We start from the raw sequence: 25,893 nt of genomic DNA on the forward strand, positions 1-25,893 counted from the left end.
ACTCTGTGCACATCAATTTGACCATTAAGATGAAATGAACCAATTCCTCGAAACAACTCATTCAAGAAGTAATAGATAACAAGAATAGGTATATAGCTCTCAGAGAAAATTAATTCATAGTTTAAAATCTTCCAGAAAGAAAACTTTAGTCCCAAATGGTTTCACTGGTAAATTATTCCAAGCGTCTAAGTAGAAATAATGCCATTTCTATGTAATCTCTTCCTGGAAATTAACGAAGAAACAATTTACTCTGCAAACCCTGCTTTGCCTGAGTATTAAAACCAGACGAAGACATTATAAGAAAGCTACATGCAGGTATCTTTCATGAACATCAACAGAAAAATCCTCAACAAAATATTAACAAACAAATCAAGTGGAGCTTATCCCAGGAATACAAGTATAGTTCAACTTTGAAAATCAATTAATATAACTCATTATATTAACAAGTGAAAAAAAGAAAAACTGCAAGATCCTATCAATTGATGCAGAAAAACAACTTGACAAAATTCAACATCAATTCATTAAAAACAATAAACACACACAGAAAATCAGAAACATGGCTGGGCATGGTGGCTCACACCTGTAATCCCAGCACTTTGGGAGGCTGAGGTGGGTGGACCTTAGGTGGGTGGATCACCTGAGGTCAGGAGTTCGAGACCAGCCTGGCCAACATGGTGAAACCCCATCTCTACTAAAAATACAAAAATTACCCAGGCACAGGGGTGTGTGCCTATAATCCCAGCTACTTGGGAGGCTGAGGCAAGAGAATCACTTGAACCTGGAGGCAGAGTTTGCAGTGAGCCAAGATTATGCCACTGCACTCCAGCCTGGGCGACAGACTGAGACTCCATCTCAAAAAAAAAAAAAAAAAAGAAAAGAAAATCAGAAATAGAAGGAATTTTCTTTCTTTTCTTTTCTTTCTTTTTTTTTTTAAATTATACTTTAAGTTCTGGGATGCATGTGCAAAACATGCAGGTTTGTTACATAGGTATACACGTGCCATGGTGGTTTGCTACACCCATCAACACGTCATCTACATTAGGTATTTCTCCTAATGCTATCCCTCCCCTTGCCACCACCCCCGATAGGCCCTGGTGTGTGACATTTCCCTCGCTGTGCCCATATGTTCTCATTGTTCAACTTCCACTTATGAGCGAGAAAATGCGGTGTTTGGTTTTCTGTTCCTGTGTTAGTTTGCTGAGAATGATGGTTTCCACCTTTATCCATGTCCCTGCAAAGACATTAACTCATTCCTTTTTATGGCTGCATAGAATTCCATGTTGTATATGTGCCACATTTTCTTTACCCAGTCTATCATTGGTGGGCATTTGGGTTGGTTCCAAGTCTTTGCTATTGTGAATAGTGCTGCAAGAAACATACGTGTGCATGTGTCTTTTTACATGATTAGAATGATTTATAATCCTTTGGGTATATACTCAGTAATGGGATTGCTGGGTCAAATGATATTTCTAGTTCTAGATCCTTGAGTAATTGCCACAATATCTTCCATATTGGTTGAACTAATTTACACTCCCACCAACAGTGTAAAAGCACTCCTGTTTCTCCACATCCTCTCCAGCATTTGTTGTTTCCTTTTTGAAAACTGCCATTCTAACTGGCATGAGATGGTATCTCATTGTGGTTTTGATTTGCATTTCTCTAATGACCAGTGATGATGAGCTTTTTTTCATATGTTTATTGGCTGCATAAATGTCTTCTTTTGAAAAGCATCTGTTCATATCCTTCACCCGCTTTTTCATGGGGTTGTTTCTTTTTATCTTGTTAATTTGTTTAAGATCCTTGTAGATTCTGGATATTAGCCCTTTGTCAGATGAATAGATTGGAAAAATTTTCTCCCATTTTGTAGGTTGTCTGCTCTCCCTGATGACAGTTTCTTTTGCTGTGCAGAAACTCTTTAGTTTAATTAGATCCCATTTGTCAATTGTGGCTTTTGTTGCAATTGTTTTTGGTGTTTTAGTCATGAAGTCTTTGCCCATGCCTATGTCCTGAATGGTATTGCCTAGGTTTTCTTCTAGGGTTTTTCTCGTTTTAGGTCTTGTGTTTAAACCTTTAATCCATCTTGAGTTAATTTTTGTATAAGGTTTAAGGAAGGGGTTCAGTATCGGTTTTTTTGCATATAGCTAGCCAGTTTTCCCAACATCTTTATTAAATAGGGAATCCTTAACCCATTGCTTGTTTTTGTCAGGTTTGTCAAAGATCAGATGGTTGTAGATGTGTGGTGTTATTTCTGAGGCCTCTGTTCTGTTCCATTTGTCTATACATCTGTTTTGGTACCAGGACCATGCTGTCTTGGTTACTGTAGCCTTGTAGTATAGTTTGAAGTCAGGTAATGTGATGCCTCTAGCTTTGTTCTTTTTGCTTAGGATTGTCTTGGCTATACAGGATCTTTTTTGGTCCTTACACTGATAAGCAACTTCAGCAAAGTCTCAGGATACAAAATCAATGTGCAAAAATCATAAGCATTCCTCTACACCAATAACAGACACACAGAGAGCCAAATCATGAGTGAACTTCCATTCACAATTGCTACAAAGAGAATAAAATACCTAGGAATACAACTTAACAAGGGATTTGAAGGACTTCTTCAAGGAAAACTACAAACCACTGCTCAAGGAAATACGAGAGGACACAAACAAATGGAGAAACATTCCATGCTCATGGATAGGAAGAATCAATATCATGAAAATGGCCCTACTGCCCAAAGTAATTTATACATTCAATGCTGTTCCCATCAAGCTACCATTGACTTTCTTCACAGAATTAGAAGGAACTTTCTTAACCTGATAAAGTGCATCTACAAAAAAATTACGATTAATGATAATAGTTAATGGTGAAAGACCATAAACTATGCTTTTTAACATCAGGAATAAAAAAAGTTGTCTGCCTTCGCTACTCCTGTTCAACACGATACAGAAAGTCTCAGCCAGTGCAGTAAGACAAGTAGAAGATATGAAAGACATAAATAGTGTAAAGGAAAAACTGAAACATCTATTTGTAGATGATATGATTGCCTATGCAAAACATATCACATAGTTCAACAGAAGAAGTCCAAATAGTTATGCTAAACACTGGTTACCTTCCAATAAACAAATTTCCTATTGGTCCCAGAAGAAAAAAGGTAGAATAAAGATTTCACAACCGACTTTTAATTTTTTTAATTTTTTTATTTTTTTGAGACGAAGTCTCATTCTGTTGCTCAGGCTGAATTGCAGTGGTGCAATCTCGGCTCACTGCAACCTCCGACTCCCAGGTTCAAGTGATTCTCCTGCCTCAGCCTCCTGAGTAGCTAGGACTACAGGCATGGGCCACCATGCCCAGCTAATTTTTTGTATTTTTCGTAGAGACAGGGTTTCACCATGTTGGCCCGGTTGGTATTGAACTCCTGACCTCAAACAATTTGCCCACCTCAGCCTCCCAAACTGCTGGGATTACAGGTGTGAGTCACCACACCCGGCCACAAACTACTTTTTAAAGTCTAGCTTTATCATGGTAATGGAAAGTCACTCTCCATTTGGTGAGATCTTCAAACTCAGAAGAGCAACATGCTTTAATTTTGGCATGTAATTCTGTTTAAAATACAGGATCCTATCTCACAGAAAACAGAAGGTGTATCATGATACACCAAATTATGATGCTGTAACAACTTCAAAGTCTCAGGGACTTACACAGATATTAAACTGAATAAAACCAGGATTTGTTCTGTTCATTTGTCAATTCTTGAATGAATTCTATACTTTCAACTATTGCAGATTTTTTTATGTGTTTAATATCTGGTTGTTCGATTACCCCCTCATTACTTATCTTCTAAAATAAAAATAGCTATTGTTATTTACTCCTCAATATGAATTTAGAATTAGTCATCAAGTTTCTCACTTTACTGTCCCCCAAAGTTCAGTAGAGGTTTGGAGAGAAATTGCAGTAAAACTAGAAATTAAGTTTGGAAAAATAACATCTTTATGATATTCAATTTTCCTACTTTGGAACATGCTATATGTCTTCATTTATTATCTTTTGTTTCAGTCTAATCTTACATTTTTCTTAATATAGATTATGTATATTTCTCATAGAGTGTACCAAGTGATCTTGGATTAGTGATGTTACTGTTATTTCTCATATTTTCAGTGTATTGCCACCATATAAAGAAAATATTAATTTTGTACAATTATTTTTAAACTGGCTTTATAACTGATCTCTCTTTAATTCTGTTTCTCACATTAATTTTATATGTAAAAATATCATATTGGAAATAATTATCATAGTATATCATTTTCTCCCCAAATTATACTACTTACACATATTTCCTCTCTTACCACAAGAGTTAAAACCTAAATAATAATATGAAATAATAATTGATTATATCAAGCATTTATCCTATTCCCATTTTAATAAGATTAGCTCTTACCATATTGATTATGATGAAAATGATTAGGTTGAGATTAAGTTAAAGGAATATCCACCTCAGTTTTAGATAACTAAGAATTTTTATCAGGAAGTGTATTAATATTATTGAGTCACTTACTAAAATTATCACATGGCTTTTTAATTTGACCCTGCCAGACTGCCATAATATTTTAAATAATCACTAACTTTTTAAGATAAAGCTAAGTTAATTGCATTGCATTGTTCCATAATGTTGTGTCAAATTTGATTTGCTCATATATGGCTTAGTATATTCTCATTTATAATTGTCTACAGTTTCCAGGAGAATTATCTTCATTAGGATTTAGTGTCAAGGTTACACTGGTTTCATAAATCATTGCAGCCAGGCACAGTGGCTCACACCTGTAATCTGAGCACTTAGGGAGGCTGAGGCGGGTGGATCACCTGAGGTCAGGAGTTTGAGACCAGCCTAGCCGACATGGTGAAACCCTGTCTCTACTAATAGCTATAGAAGTGAGCACCCAATGATAGTACAATACACATTCTTTTCTTTCTTTTTTTTTTTTTTATACTTTAAGTTCTGGGATACATGTGCAGAATGTGCATGTTTTGTTACATAGATATACACATGCCATGGTGGTTTGCTGCACCCATCAACCCGTCATCTACATTACATATTTCTCCTAATGCTATCCCTCCCCTAGCCCCCCACCCCCCAAACAGGCCCTAGTGTGTAATGTTCCCCTCCTTGTGTCCATGTGTTCTCATTGTTCAACTCTCACTTATGAGTGAGAACATGCAGTGTTTGGTTTTCCGTTCCTGTGTTAGTCTGCTGAGAATGATGGTTTCCAGCTTCATCCATGTCCCTGCAAAGGACAAGAACTCATCCTTTTTTATGGCTGCATAGTATTCCATGGTGTATATGTGCCACATTTTCTTTATCTAGTCTATCATTGATGGACATTTGGGTTGGTTCCAAGTCTTTGCTGTTGTGAATAGTGCCGCAGTAAGCATACGTGTTCATGTGTCTTTATAGGAGAATGATTTATAATCCTTTGGGTATATACCCAGTAATGAGATTGCTGGGCCAAATGGTATTTCTAGTTCTAGATTTTTGAGGAATCACCACACTGTCTTCCACAATGGCGGAACTAATTTACACTCCCACCAACAGAGAATACACATTCTTTTCAAGCAAAAATGGAACATTCTCCAATATGGATCATATGCTAGGCCATTAAATAAGTATCAATACATTTAAAAGAATTGAATACTAGTCAGCAATAACAAGAAACTACTTAAACTGATACATGTGCCTCAAAAACATTACCACAGAGTACAAGTATAAAATAGATATCATATGATTCTTTATATATGAAATGTCCAGAGCAGATCCGTGGTTCTTTAGGGCTGAGGGTGGGAGCAAGGATCGACTGCAGATTTGTATAAAGAAACATTTTGGGGTGATGGAAACTATAAATTTAGAAAAAAAATGAGATTGTATATTCACATAGCTAAGTTTTATGGTATATAAATTATACCACAGTAAAGTTGTTTTAAGAATTCAGCGTATTGGTATGGATCTTATTTCATGATTCTTGCTTGGAACTTGTGTGAATTTTGTAATTTGTCCATTCAGATCTTTCTTCAGCTATTTGGTTTTATTCAAATAAATGTGTATAATTCTTCCTTTGTTCTTACCCTACCACTCATAAATCCTAGGTTAATTCTTCATTTACATATACTATCGTTTCTCTATTGTTTACATTTATTATTCTTTGACACTTTTTAAAGAGCTTATCAAGTTAGTTCTGTAATTTATAATTATTGATTAAATCTGGAGATGAGCACATTTACTCTTTACTATATGGATTATAATTTAGCATTGAATTATTATTAAAGTTGATGAGAACTTAAATGAAGAGGGTTGGTGTATCTGAGGAATAGTCTAGAGAGCAGGGACATACACAGGCACCAAAGTGGGAAAGAGAATAGACCATTTCCAGAACTGAAAGAAGGCCATGACAGGCTGGGGCATAAGAAGTTACCTACAGTGAGTGAGGAATGAAATCAGACTGGAGCTACAGGCAGGGCAGCTCATGCAGGAGTTGTAGGCCAGATTTCAGGTTGAGATTTCATTCTAAGTGCTTTTGAAGACTTTTAAAGCAAGAGAATAACATAATTAGATTTGTTCTTGCAGAGACTGGATAGGACCTGGGTAGACAGAAGAACAGAGGCCAGTTACGAGCTCCTGAAGTAATCTGCATAGGAGATGATGGTACCTTACACTAAAGTGGTGAAAATGAAACCAGAAGTGGAATGGTTGGAGAGAGAGAAATAAATGGATATATGATGGATTGGAAATGGGGTGCATGAATGAAAGACTGGTTCAGTACAACACCCAGGTTCCCAGCTTATTCAACCAGATGAGTGATAATTCTCTCCATTAAGCTGGGATAATTCTCTCCATTGAAGGTTGAATTGAATTGAGGAATTATGTTTAATGTTACAATAAGAAAATCTAACAGTATTTTTTATGCAGTATATATGCTACAGTATTTTGGGCTTTTCATGACTGTATCTCCTTGAGTCAGGATAGATAGCTAAATGTTAATTATGTGGGAAAAGAATCCTTTTTTAAGTAAAATGTAGTCGTTTTGACTCTGCTTAGGTTATAGGATAAAATGCCAGGCTCTGATTTCTCCTTTTCATTTACTTTATGTGTGTATGTGTGGGTGTGTGTGTATACTATATATGGTGCCACATGTGCCACATAATGGTATTTCAGTCAATAATGAACTACATAGAAGACATTGGTCTTGTAAGATTATAATAACATATTTTTACTGTACTTTTTCTATTATAATAACATATCTTTACTGTACTGTTTAGTTATGTTTGGACACACAAATACCACTTTGTTACAATTGCCTACAGTATTCCAGTACAGACACATGCTGTACAGGTTTGTAGCCTAGGAGCAACAGACTATATCATATAGCCTAGGTATATAATAGGCATATACCATCTAGGTTTATAGATACGCACTATGATGTTTGCAAAACAAAATTGCCTAATTACACATTTCTCAGCAATAAGCAATGAGTGATTATATATGTGTATAAACACATTTAAAAATCCAATAGATTTATTACATACTGAACAAATATGAAATAGGAAAGTCCTTTTCTCTATTACAATAATAAAGACTATAATGGCCCATTAATTTTTAACAGATTATTAAATAAATAAATACTATTCAAATTGTTACATTTGCCTTATATAAAGACATCAAACCTTATAATTTAACATATATTTGTAATCATTTTTTCACATATTTCTTTCTTCTTCCTTAAAAATATTAATAATGCTTTTTTACATACCAAAATTGAACTTGTTTTATACCGCTCTGCAAAATAAGCTGTTCGTAGATGTAGACAGGTACCATTTTCTTCTAAATGCACTAGCTCACCCTCATCTTCTGGGGAAAGCTAGAGGATTCTATTAACTAGGGGGTAGTATACTAATCACTAAAAATGAGCATCCATCTTAATTGTGCCTCTTATAAATAAAGCACTTTAATTCCTATGAATATTTTCTTCCCAGATGAGTTTTAGTATGATGAGTTGCTAAAAATTGTAGATAGATTTTTACATCTTTGGTATTTGTGATTTAATAAGACTTTAGTGGCTGATTTACAGAAGCTTTTTCTCATTGACTTGGGAGTTGTGGTTCTTTTAAAAATCAAAGTAGAAAAACATTGTTTTTTAGAACTCAGTGGTGAACCGTATTGAATATCTTATGTCTTAGTTCCTGTAGCGTCAACGCATTTTTATTCTAAATGCTTCCTCTCATACATTCATTCAACACGTATTTCTCCACCACCACCAAGCCTGATGTCTCACCAGGCACTCGGGAGACAATGTGAGAAAGCACAGTTTCCAATTCCATGGAACTACTCGTAATTGCATTTTTCATGTAGACTTATAATTATACATCAACTCAGTCAGTTTGGCCCACATTTTTTGTGTCCAAACACAAACCTTATACAATTAGGACATGTATTGAATCTCATTTAGCATGGTAGTTGAATTTGGTAGCATAAGACTTGTCCTGTTCTTTAAGAAACAGGCCAAATATTTATTTAAAATTACTAAATCTACCTTATAAACTTAAAAAGCAATCTAAAATATATCCCCATTTTCATCAGTGAACTCTAAAAGTACCAATCTTACTTTCTTCAATTATGGGTTAAAGAAAGCATTCCTCTTAAAAGAAATCATTTTTGAAGAGTGTCTAGAAGTTTTCCCATGTGCACTGAAAAATACTATTCATATTCTCCTTGATATGATAAATAAAATGTTTGGTTGAGTTAACATATGCTGTGTTTTTAACCTATACAGTTGTTTTTTGATATCCATGGGGGATTGGTTCCAGGATCCTCTTGGATACCAAAATGCATAGGTGCTCCAGATGCTCTAATCTACACACATCTTCCCATATACTTTAAATCATCTCTAGAGTTCTTATAATACCTAATACAATGTAAGTGCTATGAAAATAGTTGTTATGCTGTATTGTTTAGGAAATAATGACCTGAAAAAAGTCGGTACATGTTTAGTACAGACACAAACCATCCATTTTTTGGGGGGGAATATTTTCAATCTGAGGTTAATTGAATCCTTGGATACAGAATCCAAGGATACAGAGGAAGAACCGTACTTTAATGGTTACCTACCTGAGTTATTTATACAAAATGAAGACAAATTTTGGTTCACAATTTAAAATGTTCATATTCATACGTATTTTATATTTTTCACAATTCAGTGCATCTAAGTATACTTACATCATTTTAAGTTCATGGTGGAAGACAATAGACCAGTCTGAATGATTAAGTTATCAAGACTAATGTGATCCTGTTGCAGTGAAATATAATACATTAATTAGTCTGACATTATGTGAAAAAGCTCATGATACATATGTTACATGATACATATGTTAGCTACTCTTTAAAAAGCACAGCAAGCTATACCTGTCTAACTTGAAGTATCAAGCATAAACATCAGTTGAGCTCCTTGATGGAGTCAGGTTGTAGTGGAGAAAAAGTAAAATATAATAAAATTTTATAGCTTGCAAAATTAAAATCATTCAATTATTCACCCAAAAAATGCATAACGCAGTGCTGGGAAGAGGCCTGAGATGTATTAATTCAGTAGGAGAAAGAACATGGTCTTCATAGACCTACATATTTACCTTCCATTCTTTCTAAGCATAAATCCACGGATGGGTCCCTGATGATTTTAGTGTGGTATTCTGTCTCTCAAAGATGTTTCTTTGTGTTGGTGAAGGAAAGCCTGTTAATAATATTCAGCTTCAAAAAGTAAAAGTTTCAAGCATAAAATAATATCTGTGTAATAAAACAGATGATATTACTTTAATTGTTAGATAAATGATGTTTATAGAAAAAATATGAAAAATGTTTCTTCTAATATACTATGTAAGCAGAGTTTAAAAATATGTGAAGTGCCACATTTCTTCATATCAGACAGAGAGTTTTGTTTAAAATTCCCATATAAGAACTTGCTAAAATCCTCTGTCTTATAAAATGGATGCCTAACAAAACCGTCACACTTTCTGCTGTCATGTGGGATGGCACATCTATTCAAAGGTTCTACAAATTAGCTACCCAGCATCATCATCGCTGCTATCTCTTTCATCATCATCCATCATCATCATTATCATGGAGTACACCTAGCTGATCTCAACGAATCTGAATCACGGAATTGATCATTTGTCACAGCAATGAGGGTTCGAGGTAGGATGGAGGGCTGAGTCCATAGATAATAGCAAAAGGAAGAGCATGGCCATTAATGAAAGAGTGAAACTGAAGATGTGTTAGCATTTTCATGCAGCTCTCTTTATGCCTATCCTTTTCCAAATATTATTTTAGACAGAAATGTCTTGATTAAGAGAGGTGAAGAGAGGTCAATGAAAAGTACATGGATTGCTTTTTCAATCTAGTGAAATAAAAAAAAAGGGAGATTTATCTCTTACAGTTATTTTCATTGTCACATTAAACCAAAATGACAGCTGTAATTATTTATTTCAATAATCTGGAATAATGGGGCATTTGAGTGATCAAAAATATATATACTATACTGAGGGAAATAAAGACTCCCCTCATCTCAGATTAAGAGCAATCTCGGCCAGACGCGGTGGCTCATGTCTGTAATCCCAGCACTTTGGGAGGCCAAGGCAGGCGGGTCATGAGGTCAGGAGATCGAGACCATCCTGGCCAACGTGGTGAAACCCCGTCTCTACTAAAAATACAAAAAGAAGTTAGCCGGGCGTGGTGGCAGGCGCCTGTAGTCCCAGCTACTTGGGAGGCTGAGGCAGGAGAATGGCATGAACCTGGGAGGCGGAGCTTGCAGTGTGCCGAGACCGCACCACTGCACTCCAGCCTGGGTGACAGAGCCAGACTCCGTCTCAAAAAAAAAAAAGAACAACCTGAAGGATTTGCACCAAAATTGTCTCACTAAAAAAAATTTTTTTAGTAATAGAGATACAGCTAGTAAAATATATTGAAACAGTCAAGTGTATCTTTTTCTTCAAATAACATACTGTTAAATTAATTAACAAGAATTTGTGAGGTTACTGCAGAATATACACCAAACCACATTTTTAAACAGTTGTTGTAAAATGAAAGGAATAATGTCACATATATAAATTTGGAAGTCAGTATCAAAATATCAGGTGAGATGTCTAAAATTCAGAGGATTCAATTTTAAGGATTTTGATTTTTAGAAAAGTCAGTGACACAGAGGCTTTGATAAGTAAGAACTGAGGGTAGTTTTAGATAAAATGTAATCTCTCCATATACCATATCATTGTTAATGAGTTGAAGTTATAAAACAAAAATTGTCCAAAAGTTTACCCTGATGTTTCATTATTTATAGAAATTAAGGAAGAATTTCAAGTAGGCTTTCTTCTTTGAGATTAGGATGACAGAAGGATGCTCATTATGACCACCATGTCAATTTAATACTATATTAAAGCTGTTAACCAAGGCAATAAAGTAAGAAAAAAATCATATTAAAAATGTGCTAATAATTAAAAATGAATGCATTAAGATATTTTTTCAATTAAATGATTTGAGTAGATGTCAAAAAATGTTCTAGTAAAATTACTAGAATAAGTGAGTTGAGCAAAGACTCAGTATCAATAATCTCTTCATTTCTGTGTACCAAAAAAGAGAAAACAAAAGCTTATAAATATATAACATTTATAATAGCATTGAGTATATCAAATACTTAAAAATAAATTCTAATACAAGATGGACAACATACCTTTGCAGAAAACAAGAGAACAGTAAGAAAAATTAAAGACCCATGGAGGAAATACAATGTTCATAGCTTGGAAGACCAAGCCAAGATCAATTGATATCTTATGAAGGTATCAATTATCTACAAATTCATCTATACATATAATGTAAATTCACTGAAATTCTCAGCAGCCTTCCACCTTTTTTTGAATATGTTGACAGCTAATTTAAAATATCTTCATGACTTTGGGGTAGGGAAAGGTTTATTTAAAAGGGCAGAAGAACCATCATCCATAAAGGAAGGTTGTCTTATAAATCTTTACTACATTGACATTAAAATCTTCTATTTACCAAAGACATCATTAAGAAGGTGAAAAGGAGGCCAGGTGTGGTGGCTCACACCTGTAATCCCAGCACTTTGGGAGGCAGAGGTGGGTGGATCATGAGGTCAGGAGGTAGAGACCATCTGGCTAACACAGTGAAACCCAGTCTCTACTAAAAACACAAAAAATTAGCCGGGCCTAGTGGCGGGCGCCTGTAGTCCCAGCTACTGGGGAGGCTGAGGCAGGAGAATGGCGTGAACCCGGGAAGCAGAGCTTGCAGTGAGCCGAGATGGTGCCACTGCACTCTAGCCTGGGCAACAGAGCAAGACTGCATCTCCAAAAACAAAAACAAAAAAAGAAAGTGAAAAGGCAAGCCAAGAAATAGAAGACATTTGCAACAAAAAGTTTGTATCCCTCTATCTATCTACCCTTCCATCCATCTTATCAATATTTTTGCATGCAAATCAATAAAGACAAAAGAATCCATAGAAAAAATAGGCAGGAGGCTTAAAGACATTTTATGAAAGAGACTATCCAAATGCTCAATAAATATGTAAAAACAAAAATGTTCCACATCATCAGTAATTATTAGAATGGTGAAAAGCACATTTGCACTAGGAAGGATATGATGCAGTGAGAACTCTACAAATTTCTGGCGGAAATGTAAACTAGTAAAACAACTTTGGAAAATAGCTTGGCACAATCTAATGTTGAACATATGCCTACCCTGTGATCCAGAAATTCTACTTCTAGGTATATAAAAACAAATTGCTCACACATACCCCAAGGTTCATGTATATCAATGTTCCCAGCATTATTCATAATAACTAAGAACTAGAACAATCCAAATATTCATCAACAGTGGAGTAGGTAATAAATTGATGTTGTCATACATGGAATACTACACAGTAATAAAAAATATACAGCTTCATCTATATTCAACTGCATGCAAGAATCTCGCAAACTGAGCAAAAAAAAGCCAGAATAAGAAGAAAATATGCATTATTTCATGTATGTAAAGTTTTCAAAAAGAACAAATCTACAATGAAAACACAAAAATAACAATTGTTGGCAAGGATCTGGATAAGTTAGAACACTTGTGCACTGCTAATGATAATGTAAAATAGTACAGCTGCTATGGAAAACAATATGGCAGTTCTTCAAAAAATTAAGCATATAATCCAGCAATTTTGTTTCTAGGTATATAACCCAAACGACTGAGAGCAAGGACTGAAACAGCTATTTGTTCATCCATGTTCATGGCAATATTCTTCATAATAGACCAAAGGTAGAAGCAACCAAAGTTGTACAAGTTGTACATTGATAGATAACTAGATAAACAAATATGGTACATACATACAATGCAATATTGTTTGGCCTTTAAAAGGAAGGAAACCCTGGCAGGTGCTACAACATGGATGTACCTTGAAGATATCATGCTGAAAGAAATATGCCCAGTCACAGAAGGATTAATATTGTATGATTCCACTTACATGGGGTACCTAGAGTGGTCAAATTCAGTGACGGAAAATAGCATGGTGGTTGCTAGGGGCTGGGAGAAGAGAGGAATGGGAGTTATTGATAATGGGTACAGTTTCAGTTTGAAAAGATGAAAAATTCTGAAGATGGATGGTGGTAGTGATTATACAACAATGTGAATATACTTAATGCTGCTGAACTATACAGTTTAAAATGGTTAAATGGTACATTTTATGTATACGTTACCATAAAAAAAAAAGTCTGGACTATAATGTTAGAAGTAAAGATAGTAGTAATCTTATAGGAGAAAGAAGAGGATGGTGTTCAGAAAGAGCGTGGTGAGGGTGGGGAACTTCAAGGGTGCTGGCAATATTCTATTCCTGGGCATAGGTTATCAGTGGTGTTTAAATGAACGTTTGCCTTATGATACTTTATAAAGCTTCACATTTAAGTTTTGTGTCACTACTGCTTGATATACTTCACAATAAAATCTTTAAAAATAACATATATGTTATGTTCCTAGGAACATACATGTTCCTAGAAAGAAAAATATCCATGTCACATGTCATTACAACTTGTATTTTGCAAGCAGTCTGTATTGAAAAGGATGTGGGCTTGTGGCTTTGGAGTCAACTGTCAGCCTTAGACTTGAATCTCAACTTGGCTATGTGTAAAGTGTGTGACACTGAAAATTCTTTCTTTGAAACTATTTTCTCATCTTTATAATTGAGAATATGACAAATGTTTTATAGAATAATTTTCAGGATTAAAAGTTTATGGATAAATATACAGCATATTATCAGATGAATAACAAAAGCTCTAAACATATTAGGTTCTATTTTCTTCCCTTTAGAAAATAAATTTCTTCAGATTTTTTTAATCTGCTATTGTAGCAGGACAAGCTGCAGACAAAACCCCTCAGACACCAAGTTAAAGAAGGAAGGGCTTTATTCAGCCGGGAGCTTCGACAAGACTCATGTCTCCAAAAACCGAGCTCTCCGAGTGAGCAATTCCTGTCCCTCTTAAGGGCTTACACCTCTAAGGGGGTCCACATGAGAGGGTTGTGATCATTGAGCAAGCAGGGGGTACGTGACTGGGGGCTGCATGCACCGGTAATTAGAACAGAACAGAACAGGGCAGGGATTTTCACAATGCTTTTCCATACAATGTCTGTAATCTATAGATAACATAACTGATTAGTCAGGGGTCGATCTTTAAATACCAGGCCCAGGGTGTGGCACCGGGCTGTCTGCCTGTGGATTTCATTTCTGCCTTTTAGTTTTTACTTCTTCTTTCTTTGGAGGCAGAAATTGGGATAAGACAATATGAGGGGTGGTCTCCTCCCTTACTATCATTCAATAGTCAAGAATATTCCTGAGTGGAAACCAGCTACAAAGTACTGCCCCAAATTAAGTCATTTGAGGGAAGTTATAGTTTATTTTCTTATGTTAATTGATCAAATTAGATAACAAGCAGAATGGATTTATAACTTTGTTGTGGGGTATAAAATTATATTAAGTACTATATATTAAAAGCACAGAATTTTAAGATAATGATTTTCCAGATCGACTGCAAGAACAAACCAGCAATCCCGAGAGGATTCACAGACCCTCCAAAGGAAGCAGACTGCTCCTGCAGGACCCAGGAGACATCCCCAAAACTGTGAGTGCCCCAACTGCAGAAGTAGGAAAAGAAGACCCTCCCCTCCCAAACACACACCGCCACTGGAGAAACTGAAGGTCTGCTTGTGGGAGAAGTTTGCGACTTTACCTGGAGCTGAGTCTATTTGGAGAGCCGAGCGAAATACAGGGGTAGACGAAGCAGCAGAAAGGCCCTGGGAGCTTGTTGGGTCCCCTAGCGGGCCATTCCTGCCTGGCACCACAGGGATCCAACGGGAGAGAAGCAGGGATTAAAATTATACAGGGAGAAGCAAATCTCTAGCTGAACTTCGTAACAGTTTGAACAGGGCAAGAAGTCTCCTGGCCAGAACTTGGGGGAGGGCACAAATCCAGCGTGCGTACTCCACAGGTGGGGGACGAACCAAGCCCTTTTTTTTCCACAACTTGGAGGCAGATAGCCTGGGGCAGGTTTTCAAGCCTGTATGACTCTGCCTGGAAAAGGTCTGGGGGCTGTTGTCGGGTCATGATGGGAGTGAGACTGGCCCTTCAGTTTATTTGGGAGCTGGGTGAGGCCTGTGATTGCCAGCTTTTCCCCACTTCCCTGACAACCTGCATGACTTGGCAGAGGCAGCCATAATCTTCCTAGGTATACAACTCCAGTGACCTGGGAATCTCACTTTCATTCCCACAGCAGCCTCGGTAAGACCCACCTAAGAAGAGTCTCAGCTCAGACACACTTGGCCCTGCCCCCACATGATGGTCCTTCCCTACCCACCCTAGTAGCAGAAAAGGGCATATAATCGGGAGTTCTAGGGCTCCGCCCACTGCTGGTTCCTCCCCGTAATACCACAGCTGATGCTCTCTGGAAAGTGCCACCTCCTGGCAGGATGCCGACCAGTACAAAAATAGAACATTAAATCACCAAAGCTAAAAACCCTCACGGAGTTCATTGCACCCCCTGCCACTTCCACCGGAACAGGCACTGGTATCCACAGCTGAGAGACCCATAGACAGTTCACATCACAGGACTCTGTGCAGTCAACCCCCAGTACAGCTTGGTGCTGGGAAGACTCGCTGGGTGGCTAGACTCAGAAGAGAGACAACAATCACTGCAGTTTGGCTCACAGGAAGCCACATCCATAGGAAAAGGGAGAGAGTACTACATCAAGGGAATACCCTGTGGGACCAAAGAAACTGAACAACATCCTTCAGCCCTAGACCTTCCCTCTAAAAGAGCCTATCCAAATGAGAAAACCAACTCTGGTAATATGACAAAACAAGGCTGTTCAACAACTCCCAAAAATCACACTAGTTCACCAGCAATGGATCCAAACCAAGAAGAAATCCTTGATTTACCTGAAAAAGAATTCAGGAGATTAGTTATTAAGCTAATCAGGGAGGGACCAAAGAAAGGCAAAGCCCAGTGCAAGGAAATCCAAAATATGATACAAGAAATGAAGTGAGAAATATTCAAGAAAATTGATAGCTTAAAGACAAAACAATCAAAAATTCAGGAAAGGTTGGACATATGTTTAGAAATGCAAAATGCTCTGGAAAGTCTCAGCAATAGAATTAAAGAAGTAGAAGAAAGAAATTCAGAGCTCGAAGACAAGGTCTTGAAATTAACCCAATCCAACAAAGACAAAGAAAAAAGAATAAGAAAATATGAACAAAGCCTCCAATAAATCTGGGATTATGTTAAATGACCAAACCTAAGAATAATCAGTGTTCCTGAGGAAGAAGAGAATTCTAAAAGTTTGGAAAACGTATTTCGGGAAATAATTAAGGAAAACTTCCCTGACCTTGTGAGAAACCTAGACATCCAAATACAAGAAGCACAAAGAACACCCTGGAAATTCATCACCAATAGATCTTCACCTAGGTACACTGTCATCAGGTTATCCAAAGTTAAGAGGAAGGAAAGAATCTTAAGAGCTATGATACGGAAGCACTAGGTAACCTTTAAAGGAAAAACCTATCCGATTAATAGCAGATTTCTCAGCAGAAACCCTGCAAGCTAGAAGGGACTGGGGCCCTATCTTCAGCCTCCTCAAACAAAACAATTCTCAGCCAAGAATTTTGTATCCAGCAAAACTAAGCATCATACAGGAAGGAAAGGAGACTCACCTAGCACATAGGACTCACAGAAACTTAAAGAAAATGGGTGAAAAAAGGCATTTCATGCAAATGGACACCAAAAGTGACCAGGGGTAGCTATTCCTATATCAAACAAAACAAACTTTAAAGCAGCAGGAGTTAAAGCACTTTTTCAGAGAACAAATGCTGACAGAATTTGCCATTACCAAGCCACCACTAGAAGAACTGCTAAAAGGAGCTCTAAATCTTGAAACAAATCCTGGAAACACATCAAAACAGAACCTTTTTAAAGCTTAAATCACACAGGACCTATAAAACAAAAATACAAGTTAAAAAGCAAAAATAAAATCCGAAGTACACAGGCAACATAGAGCATGAGGAATGCAATGGTACCTCACATTTCAACACTAACATTGAATGTAAATGACCTAAATGCTCCATTTAAAAGACACAGAACTGCAGAATGGATAAGAACTCACCAACCAACTATCTGCTGTCTTTAGGAGACTCACCTAGCACATAAGGACTCACATAAACTTAAATGGGTGGAAAAAGGCATTTCATGCAAATGGACACCAAAAGCAAGCAGGGGTGGCTATTCTTATATCAAACAAAACAAACTTTAAAGCAGCAGCAGTTAAAAGAGACAAAAAGGGACATTATGTAATGGTAAAAGGCCTTGTCCAACAGGAAAATATCACAATCCTAAATATATATGCACCTAACACCATAGCTCCCAAATTTATAAAACAATTACTAATGGACCTAAGAAATGAGATAGACAGCAACACAAAAACAGTGAGGGACTTCAGTACTGCACTGACAGCACTGGACAGGTCATCAAGACGGAAAGTCAACAAAGAAACAATACCTTGGAACAAATGGACTTAACAGATATATACAGAATATTTCATCCAGCAACCACATAATACACATTCTATTCAACAGTACATGGAACTTTCTCCAAGATAGACCATATGATAAGCCATAAAACGAGCCTCAATAAATTTAAGAAAATTGAAATCATATCAAGTACTCTCTTAGACCACAGTGGAATAAAACTGGAAATCAACTCCAAAAGGAAACTTCAAAACCATGCAAATACACGGAAATTAAATAACCTGCTCCTGAATGAGCACTGGGTCAAAAACAAAATCAAGATGGAAATTTTAAAATTCTTCGAACTGAATGACAATAATGACATAACCTATCAAAACCTCTAGGCTATAGCAAAGGCAGTGCTAAGAGGAAAGTTCGTAGCCCTAAACGCCTACATCAAAAAGACTGAAAGAGTAAAAACTGACACTCCAAGGTCACACCTCAAGGAACTAGAGAAACAAGAACAAACCAAACCCAAACCCAGCAGAAAAAGGAAATAACCAAGATCAGAGCAGAACTAAATGAAACTGGAACAAAGAAATACAAAAGATAATGAAACAAAAAGCTGGTTCTTTGAAAAGATAAATAAAATAGATAGACCACTGGCAAGATTAACCAAGAAAAGAAGAGAGAAAATCCAAATAACCTCACTAAGAAACGAAACAGGAGATATTACAACTGACACCACTGAAATACAAAAGATCATTCAAGGCTACTATGAACACCTTTATGCACATAAACTAGGAAACCTAGAAGAGATGGATAAATTCCTGGAAAAAATACAACCCTCCTAGCTTAAATCAGGAAGAATGAGATACTCTGAACAGACCGATAACGAGCAGCGAGATTGAAATAGTAATTTAAAAATTATCAACAAAAAAAAGTCTAGGACCAGACAGATTCACAGCAGAATTCTATCAGATATTCAAAGAAGAATTGGTACCAATCCTTTTGACACTATTCCACAAGATAGGGGAAGAAGGAACCCTCCCTGATTCATTCTATGAAGCCAGCATCACCCTAATACTGAAACCAGGAAAGGACATAACCAAAAAAGAAAACTACAGACTGATATCCTTGATGAACATGGATGCTAAAATCTTTAACAAAATATTAGCTAACCGAATCCAACAACATATCAAAAAGATAATCCACCATGATCAAGTGGGTTTCATACCAGGGATGCAGGGATGGTTTAACATACACAAGTCGATAAATGTGACACAACATAAACAGAATTAAAAACAGTAATCATATGATCATCTTAATAGATGCAGAAACAGCATTTGACAAAATCCAGCATCTTTTACGATTAAAACTCTCAGCAAAATCAGCATACAAGGGACATACCTTAATGTAATAAAAGCCATCTATGACAAACCCACAGCCAACATAATACTGAATGGGGAAAAGTAGAAAGCATTCCCTCTGAGAACTGGAACAAGACAAGGATGTCCACTCTTTTTTTTTTTTTTTTGGAGATGGAGTCTCGCTCTTGTTGCCCACGCTGGAGTGCAATGGCATGATCCTGGCTCACTGCAACCTCTGCCTCCCAGATTCAAGTGATTCTCCTGCCTCAGCCTCCTGAAGGATGCCCACTCTTACCACTCCTCTTCAATGTAGTACTGGAAGTCCTAGCCAGAGCAATCCAGACAAGAGAAAGAAATAAAGGGCATCCAAATTGGTTAAGAGGAGGTCAAACAGTCACATCAGTTTGCTGATGATAGGATTATTTACCTTGAAAACCCTAAGGACTCCTCCAGAAAGCTCCTAGAGCTGATAAAAGAGTTCAGCAAAGTTTCTGGATACAAGATTAATGTACACAAATTAGTAGCTCTTCTATACACCAGCAGTGACCAAGTGGAGAATCAGATCAACAACTCAACCACTTTTACAATAGCTGAAAAAACAACAACAACAACAACAAAAAACACCACTTAGGAATACACCTAACCAGGGAGTTGAAAGACCTCTACAAGGAAAACTACGAAACACTGCTGAAAGAAATAATAGATGACATGAACAAATGGAAACACATCCCATGCTCATAGATGGGTAGAATCAATTTTGTGAAAGTGACTATACTGCCAAAAGAAATCTCCAAATTCAATGCAATCCACATCAAAATACCACCATCATTCTTCACAGAATTAGAAAAAACAATTCTAAAATTCATATGGAACCCTAAAAGAGCCTGCATAGCCAAAGCAAAACTAACCAAAAAGAACTAATCTGGAGGCATCACACTACCTGATTTCAAACTATACTAGAAGGCCATAGTCATCAAAACAGCATGGTACTGGTACAAAAATAGGCACATAGCCCAATGGAACAGAATAAATAACCCAGAAATAAAGCCAACTGATTTTCGACAAAGCAAACAAAAATATGAAGTGGGGAAAGGACACCCTTTTCAATAAATGGTGCTGGGATAATTGGCTAGCCACATGTAGGAGAATGAAACTGGATTCTCATCTCTCACCTTATACAAAAATCAACTCAAGATGGATTAAGCACATAAACCTAAGATCTGAGACTATAAAAATTCTAGAAGATAACATTGGAAAAAACCCTTCTGGACACTGGCTTAGGCAAGGATTTCATGATCAAGAACCCAAAAGCAAATGCAATAAAAACAAAGATAAATAGCTGGGACTTAATTAAACTAAAGAGCTTTTGCATGGCAAAAGAAACAGCAAACAGACAACCCACAGAGTGGGAGGAAATCTTCACAATCTATACATCTGACAAAGGACTCATATCCAGAATTTACAAAGAACTCAAACAAATCAGCAAGAACAAAACAAACAATCCCATCAAAAAGCGGGCTAAGGACATAAACAGACAATCCTCAAAAGAAGATCTACAAATGGCCAACAAACATATGAGAAAATGCTCAGCATCACTAATGATCAGGGAAATACAAATCAAAACCACAATGTGATTCCACCTCACTCCTGCAAGAATGACTATAATAAAAAAATCAAAAAACAGTAGATGCTGGCATGGATGCAGTGAACAGGGAACACTTCTACACTGCTGGTGGGAATGTAAACTAGTACAGCTACTATGGAAAACAGTGTGGAGATTCCTTAAAGAACTAAAAGTAGGACTACCATTTGATCCAGCAATCCCACTACTGTATATCTACCCAGAGGGAAAAAAGTCATTATTCGAAAAAGACACTTGCACACGCATGTTTATAGCCGCACAATTCACAATTGCAAAATCATGGAGCCAACCCAAATGCCCATCAATCAATGAGTGGATAAAGAAACTGTAGTATACATATATACATACGATGAAATACTATGCAGCCATAAAAAGGAATGAATTAACAGCATTTGCAGTGACCTGGATGAGATTGGAGACTATTATTCTAAGTGAAGTAACTCAGGAATAGAAAACCAAACATGGTATGTTCTCCCTGATATGTGGGAGCTAAGCTATGAGGATGCGAAGGCATAAGAATGATGCAATGGACTTTGGGGACTTGGGGGGAAGAGTGGGAGGGGGGTGAGGGCTACAAGACTACAAATATGGTGCAGTGCATACTGCTTGGGTGATGCGTGCACCAAAATCTCACAAATCACTGCTAAAGAACTTACTCATGTAACCAAATACACCTGTACCCCAATAACTTATGGAAAAATAAAAATAAAATAAATAAAAATCTTACAGGAAACATTGTCAAAAAGATAAAAGTTCAAAAGGACAATAAAGCCAGGAAACAACAATTAGCTACTTTTTTTAAAAAAACTATTTATTAGAATAATGAAAGCAAAAATTTACCTTTTAACAACTACTTCTACTTAACATTTTAAAAGATTCTCTTTGTATCCAAAAGACAATATGAAGTCTTCAATTTTCTACATACCATTTACAGAGGTTTTACTGGGTATCATACAAATGCTTCCAGTTTTATCCAAATCTACTGTTAAATTACCCATGTAATTATCCCAGTAGAATTCATGATACCTTTTTACTGTTAATTTCATTAACACTTTACTGGAAAGAGTCTAGATGTATTTAAATGCAGGTCTCAGAGTTTTTATTATGACAATTAAAGGGAACATTTCCATATTATTTTGGGGGGTATATAATTACTAAGTTAAAAGCATAACTGAAAATTATTTACCACTAACAGTATAGATAAAAAATAAATGGCCATTAGATTCACTTCAAGGCATATTTTTTGATGATTTCAATGACAATATCTTCTTATATACATTTCCATCAAAATGAAGCTGATAATTCTGTTATATATTCTACGTGAAATGAGGCCATGAAATGATAGCTCTTTCTAGTCTTTGACCACAGGAGAATAGTTGCTAAAAGTTATGCACTGATGTACAGCAAAAGGGTCGGGGGCAGGGACACCGATGAGGATACGATAATCAAATGTCTTGAGATTAATATGAGCATAGAATATCATATGTAAATGCAAAATTCCAAATATATATGTTTTAACCTTTATCATTATATTATTATTTACTTTGTAATCTATTACATAGTATTTTTACTGTTCTCCATCAAATATAGTCAGTTAAGTAAGAATTGCAGATGTGATATAATTTTTAGTAATACAGCAAATTCTCAGTGTACAATGTTCATTCTTCCCATTCCCTTTCTATTAAATTTCTGTATTGCTACTGATCTTTCAACTGTTTTCAAATCAACATAAGTAGTTATTGAGGGCTTTCTCCGTGCAAGTACACAACTAGAGTAAATCGGCTTGATACTTTCCTACCAAGAATTCCCAGGAGAACATTGGCCATATACAACATTGTAGAAATATCAGAGTTTGCTCAATTTTATTTAGCTACCATTAAGTGGGCCACAGATAAACTTCCTATTAATTTCTTGTCATAACCTCCCATCCTCTCTCCAACATTTCCTTAAAGTAGTGTTTCAATATGAATTTAAGGTTAATATGGATTAGTAATCAGAATATTTTATGAAATTTATTATATATAATTTAATAGTATTTTGGCAAAACAGAGATTGACAAGGAATGTGAATTAAGGTATGACTACTTCCTTAAGGGTATAAATTGTCATTTCTATCTCCTTTTTGATGTTCCAGAGTCTATTTAGTCTAAATATTTATTTGTATTTTTTCCAAGGGACAGAGAAATAACTTGAAAAAAAATAAGAAAACATGACATATTTTATTTAGCTTACGCTGTAATCAGAATAGCCTACGAAGGAAAACATTTAATTCAGGTAATAAACTTCATAAGGGACATTGTCAAGTCCTGCTATTTTGAAGAATGTTTCTGTCTTTTTCAATCTTAAAATATGAAAAATAAATTGAGGCCATGGAAGAATTTTAGAGCTTCATAATCAAACTGTCTTACAGTGTATAAAAATCTCAACGAAAAGAGTCAAACTCTGTAAAATATTTGAAGAGATTTATTCTGAGCCAAATAGAAGTGACCATGGCCCATGACACAGCCCTCAGGAGGTCCTGGGAACATGTGCCCAAGGTGGTTGGGGTGCAGCTTGTTTTTATATATTTTAGGGAGGCATGAGACATCAATCGAATACATGTGAGAAATACATTGGTTTGGTCCAGAAGGGTGGGACAATTCGAAGGGGGGCATGGAGGCAGGCTTCCACGCTATAGGTAAATTTAAATATTTTCTGGTTGACAATTGTTTGAGTTTGTCTAAGACCTGGGATTAATAGAAAGGAAATGTTCACATTAAGATAAAAAATTGTGGAGGCCAAGGTTCTTTTGATGTCTCATAGTGGCTGCCCTTAGAGACAATGGATGACAAATGTTTCCTATTCAGACCTTTAAGAGGTGCTAGGCTCTCAGTTAATCTCTTCAGGATTGGGAGGGCCTGGAAGAAAAAGATCTAGCTATGTTAATAGAGGTTCTTTACAGATGCAAATTTTCCCCCACAAAGGACGGCTTTGCAGGACCTTTTCAAAATACAGCAAAGAAACATGTTTGGGGGTAAAATATTTTTATTTTCTTCTTTGTCATGTAATGTTATGCTGAGTGAGATTGGAAAGTAAGTCACGATATATAGAGTTAAATAAAACCCATCTGATGAGAATTTATGGTTTGCAGGCCATGATTCCCCAGACCCGTTAGATAGGAATTTGAGCAAAATAAAAAAATCAGAGCTTAGTCCTCAAAAATATGATTTGTAAGTTTTTTTATTAAAAGATTATGCCTTACAATTTTTTGTACACTCTGTCTTTTCTTATACTAGGGTCATACATGTAGACTTACTAAATAGATGATTTGGTACAATATCATTGACCTTGTATTTAAGGTTCACTTAGTTGCATTTAAGAGATCAAATCTCATCTCAAACAATTTTATTAGGGTGTTTTAATACTATTGTCAAGTTGGTGTTCATTGTATTTGATATTGCTTATTTAGAGAAATATGGTTTAGGTATGTTTGTTAAAACTGAACTTTCATTATAATGGTATTTGCTGGGATGAGATTTAAATAGTAGGTGAAAACTAGTAAGAGAAAAGAATTGTCCAACTCACTTTAACTCAGTGCTTCTCAAACCTTAATATGCACATGAATCACTTGAGTATCTGGTTGGGAAGCAGATTTTCATTCAGTAGGTCTTGGGTGGGGCCCAAGATTCTGCCTTTCCAATGGAAGAAGCTCTGAGGGGCAAGGTCCTAGAAAACCCAAATAATTTATCATTGCATCATGCTTAATTCTATTTCCTCTGCTTGATGAGCACCAATGTACTTATTCAATGTTTTAAAAATTAATAAGATGAACCTTCACTTAGAAAATATATAAATCATTTGGTCTTAGGTATTAGCTTCCAGTTGTGCAAAAAGCAAAACTACAAGTTACTGCAGGAGTTACACATATATTTTACTATTTCACTGAAATCATCCTTAAAACATGAACTACAGCCGGGAGCGGTGGCTCATGCCTGTAATCCCAGCACTTTGGGAGGCCGAAGTGGGCGGATCACGAGGTCAGGAGATCGAGACCCTCCTGGCTAACATGGTGAAACCCCGTCTCTACTAAAAATACAAAAAAAAAAATTAGCCTGGTGTGGTCGCGGGCGCCTGTAGTCCCAGCTACTCGGGAGGCTGAGGCAGGAGAATGGCGTGCACCCGGGAGGCGGACTTGCAGTGAGCCGAGATTGCGCCACCGGACTCCAGCCTGGGCAACAGAGCCAGACTCTGTCTCAAAAAAAACAAAAAGACAAAAAAAACACATGAACTACATATTCATTTGAAAATTTCATTTTGTCATGGGACTCCAGACAAAAATACACATCAAACTTAAGGTTTAACTTGATTTCTTTTTTTTTTTTTTTTTGAGACGGAGTCTCGCTCTGTCGCCCACGCTGGAGTACAATGGTGTGATCTTGGCTCACTGCAACCTCCGCCTCCCGGGTTCAAGAGATTCTCCTGCATCAGCCTCCCGAGTAGCTGGGACTACAGGTGCGCACCACCACACCCAGCTAATTTTTGTATTTTCAGTACAGACAGGGTTTCACCACGTTGGCCAGTATGGTCTCAATCTCCTGACCTCGTGATCCACCAGCCTCGGCCTCCCAAAGTGCTGGGATTACAGGCGTGAGCCACTGCGCCCAGCTGTGATGTACCAAATTTTAAAAAAATAAACATACAACAATGTTGAATCCTTAGAGAGCTCGAAAGAAAGAGAAAGACAAAGAACCACACAGGTAACTTGAAGTAGAGAATTTCTTTTCGTTAAAAAAAATAGATTACAATACAGTCCTTCGGTTAAAACGCATCTACAGACATTTCCT

General features: G+C 36.6%; 1 protein-coding gene across 17 annotated transcripts in view, besides 2 other annotated features; it reads right to left on the reverse strand.

The window, feature by feature from the left end:
* The window catches only part of KIAA0825, a 467,754-nt gene that overhangs the window by 180,456 nt on the left and 261,405 nt on the right, over positions 1 to 25,893 (reverse strand). Inside the window, exon 21 of one of the 17 annotated variants that reach the window (XM_017009373.2) lies at positions 1,970 to 9,755. The exons of 15 other annotated variants lie outside the window; for them this stretch is intronic. In XM_017009373.2, the coding sequence (XP_016864862.1) occupies positions 9,722 to 9,755 (34 nt within the window). In that variant the 3' untranslated portion in view covers positions 1,970 to 9,721. Of the gene's footprint in view, positions 1 to 1,969; positions 9,756 to 24,271; positions 24,776 to 25,893 lie in introns of those variants that run through there. One more of the 17 variants, NM_001385713.1, reaches the window with a different exon arrangement.
* Positions 23,784 to 24,415: an enhancer, noted in NCBI's record as "OCT4-NANOG-H3K27ac hESC enhancer chr5:93690795-93691426 (GRCh37/hg19 assembly coordinates)". NCBI's record gives its function as "activates a minimal SCP1, AML or CMV promoter by ChIP-STARR-seq in primed H9 embryonic stem cells {active_cell/tissue: H9 hESC(primed)}" and the evidence as "EXISTENCE:reporter gene assay evidence [ECO:0000049][PMID:30033119]".
* Positions 25,050 to 25,681: an enhancer, noted in NCBI's record as "H3K4me1 hESC enhancer chr5:93692061-93692692 (GRCh37/hg19 assembly coordinates)". NCBI's record gives its function as "activates a minimal SCP1, AML or CMV promoter by ChIP-STARR-seq in primed H9 embryonic stem cells {active_cell/tissue: H9 hESC(primed)}" and the evidence as "EXISTENCE:reporter gene assay evidence [ECO:0000049][PMID:30033119]".

The sequence above is a fragment of the Homo sapiens genome, chromosome 5 (genome assembly GCF_000001405.40).
Source record: "Homo sapiens chromosome 5, GRCh38.p14 Primary Assembly".
Classification (NCBI taxonomy): Eukaryota; Metazoa; Chordata; class Mammalia; order Primates; family Hominidae; genus Homo; species Homo sapiens.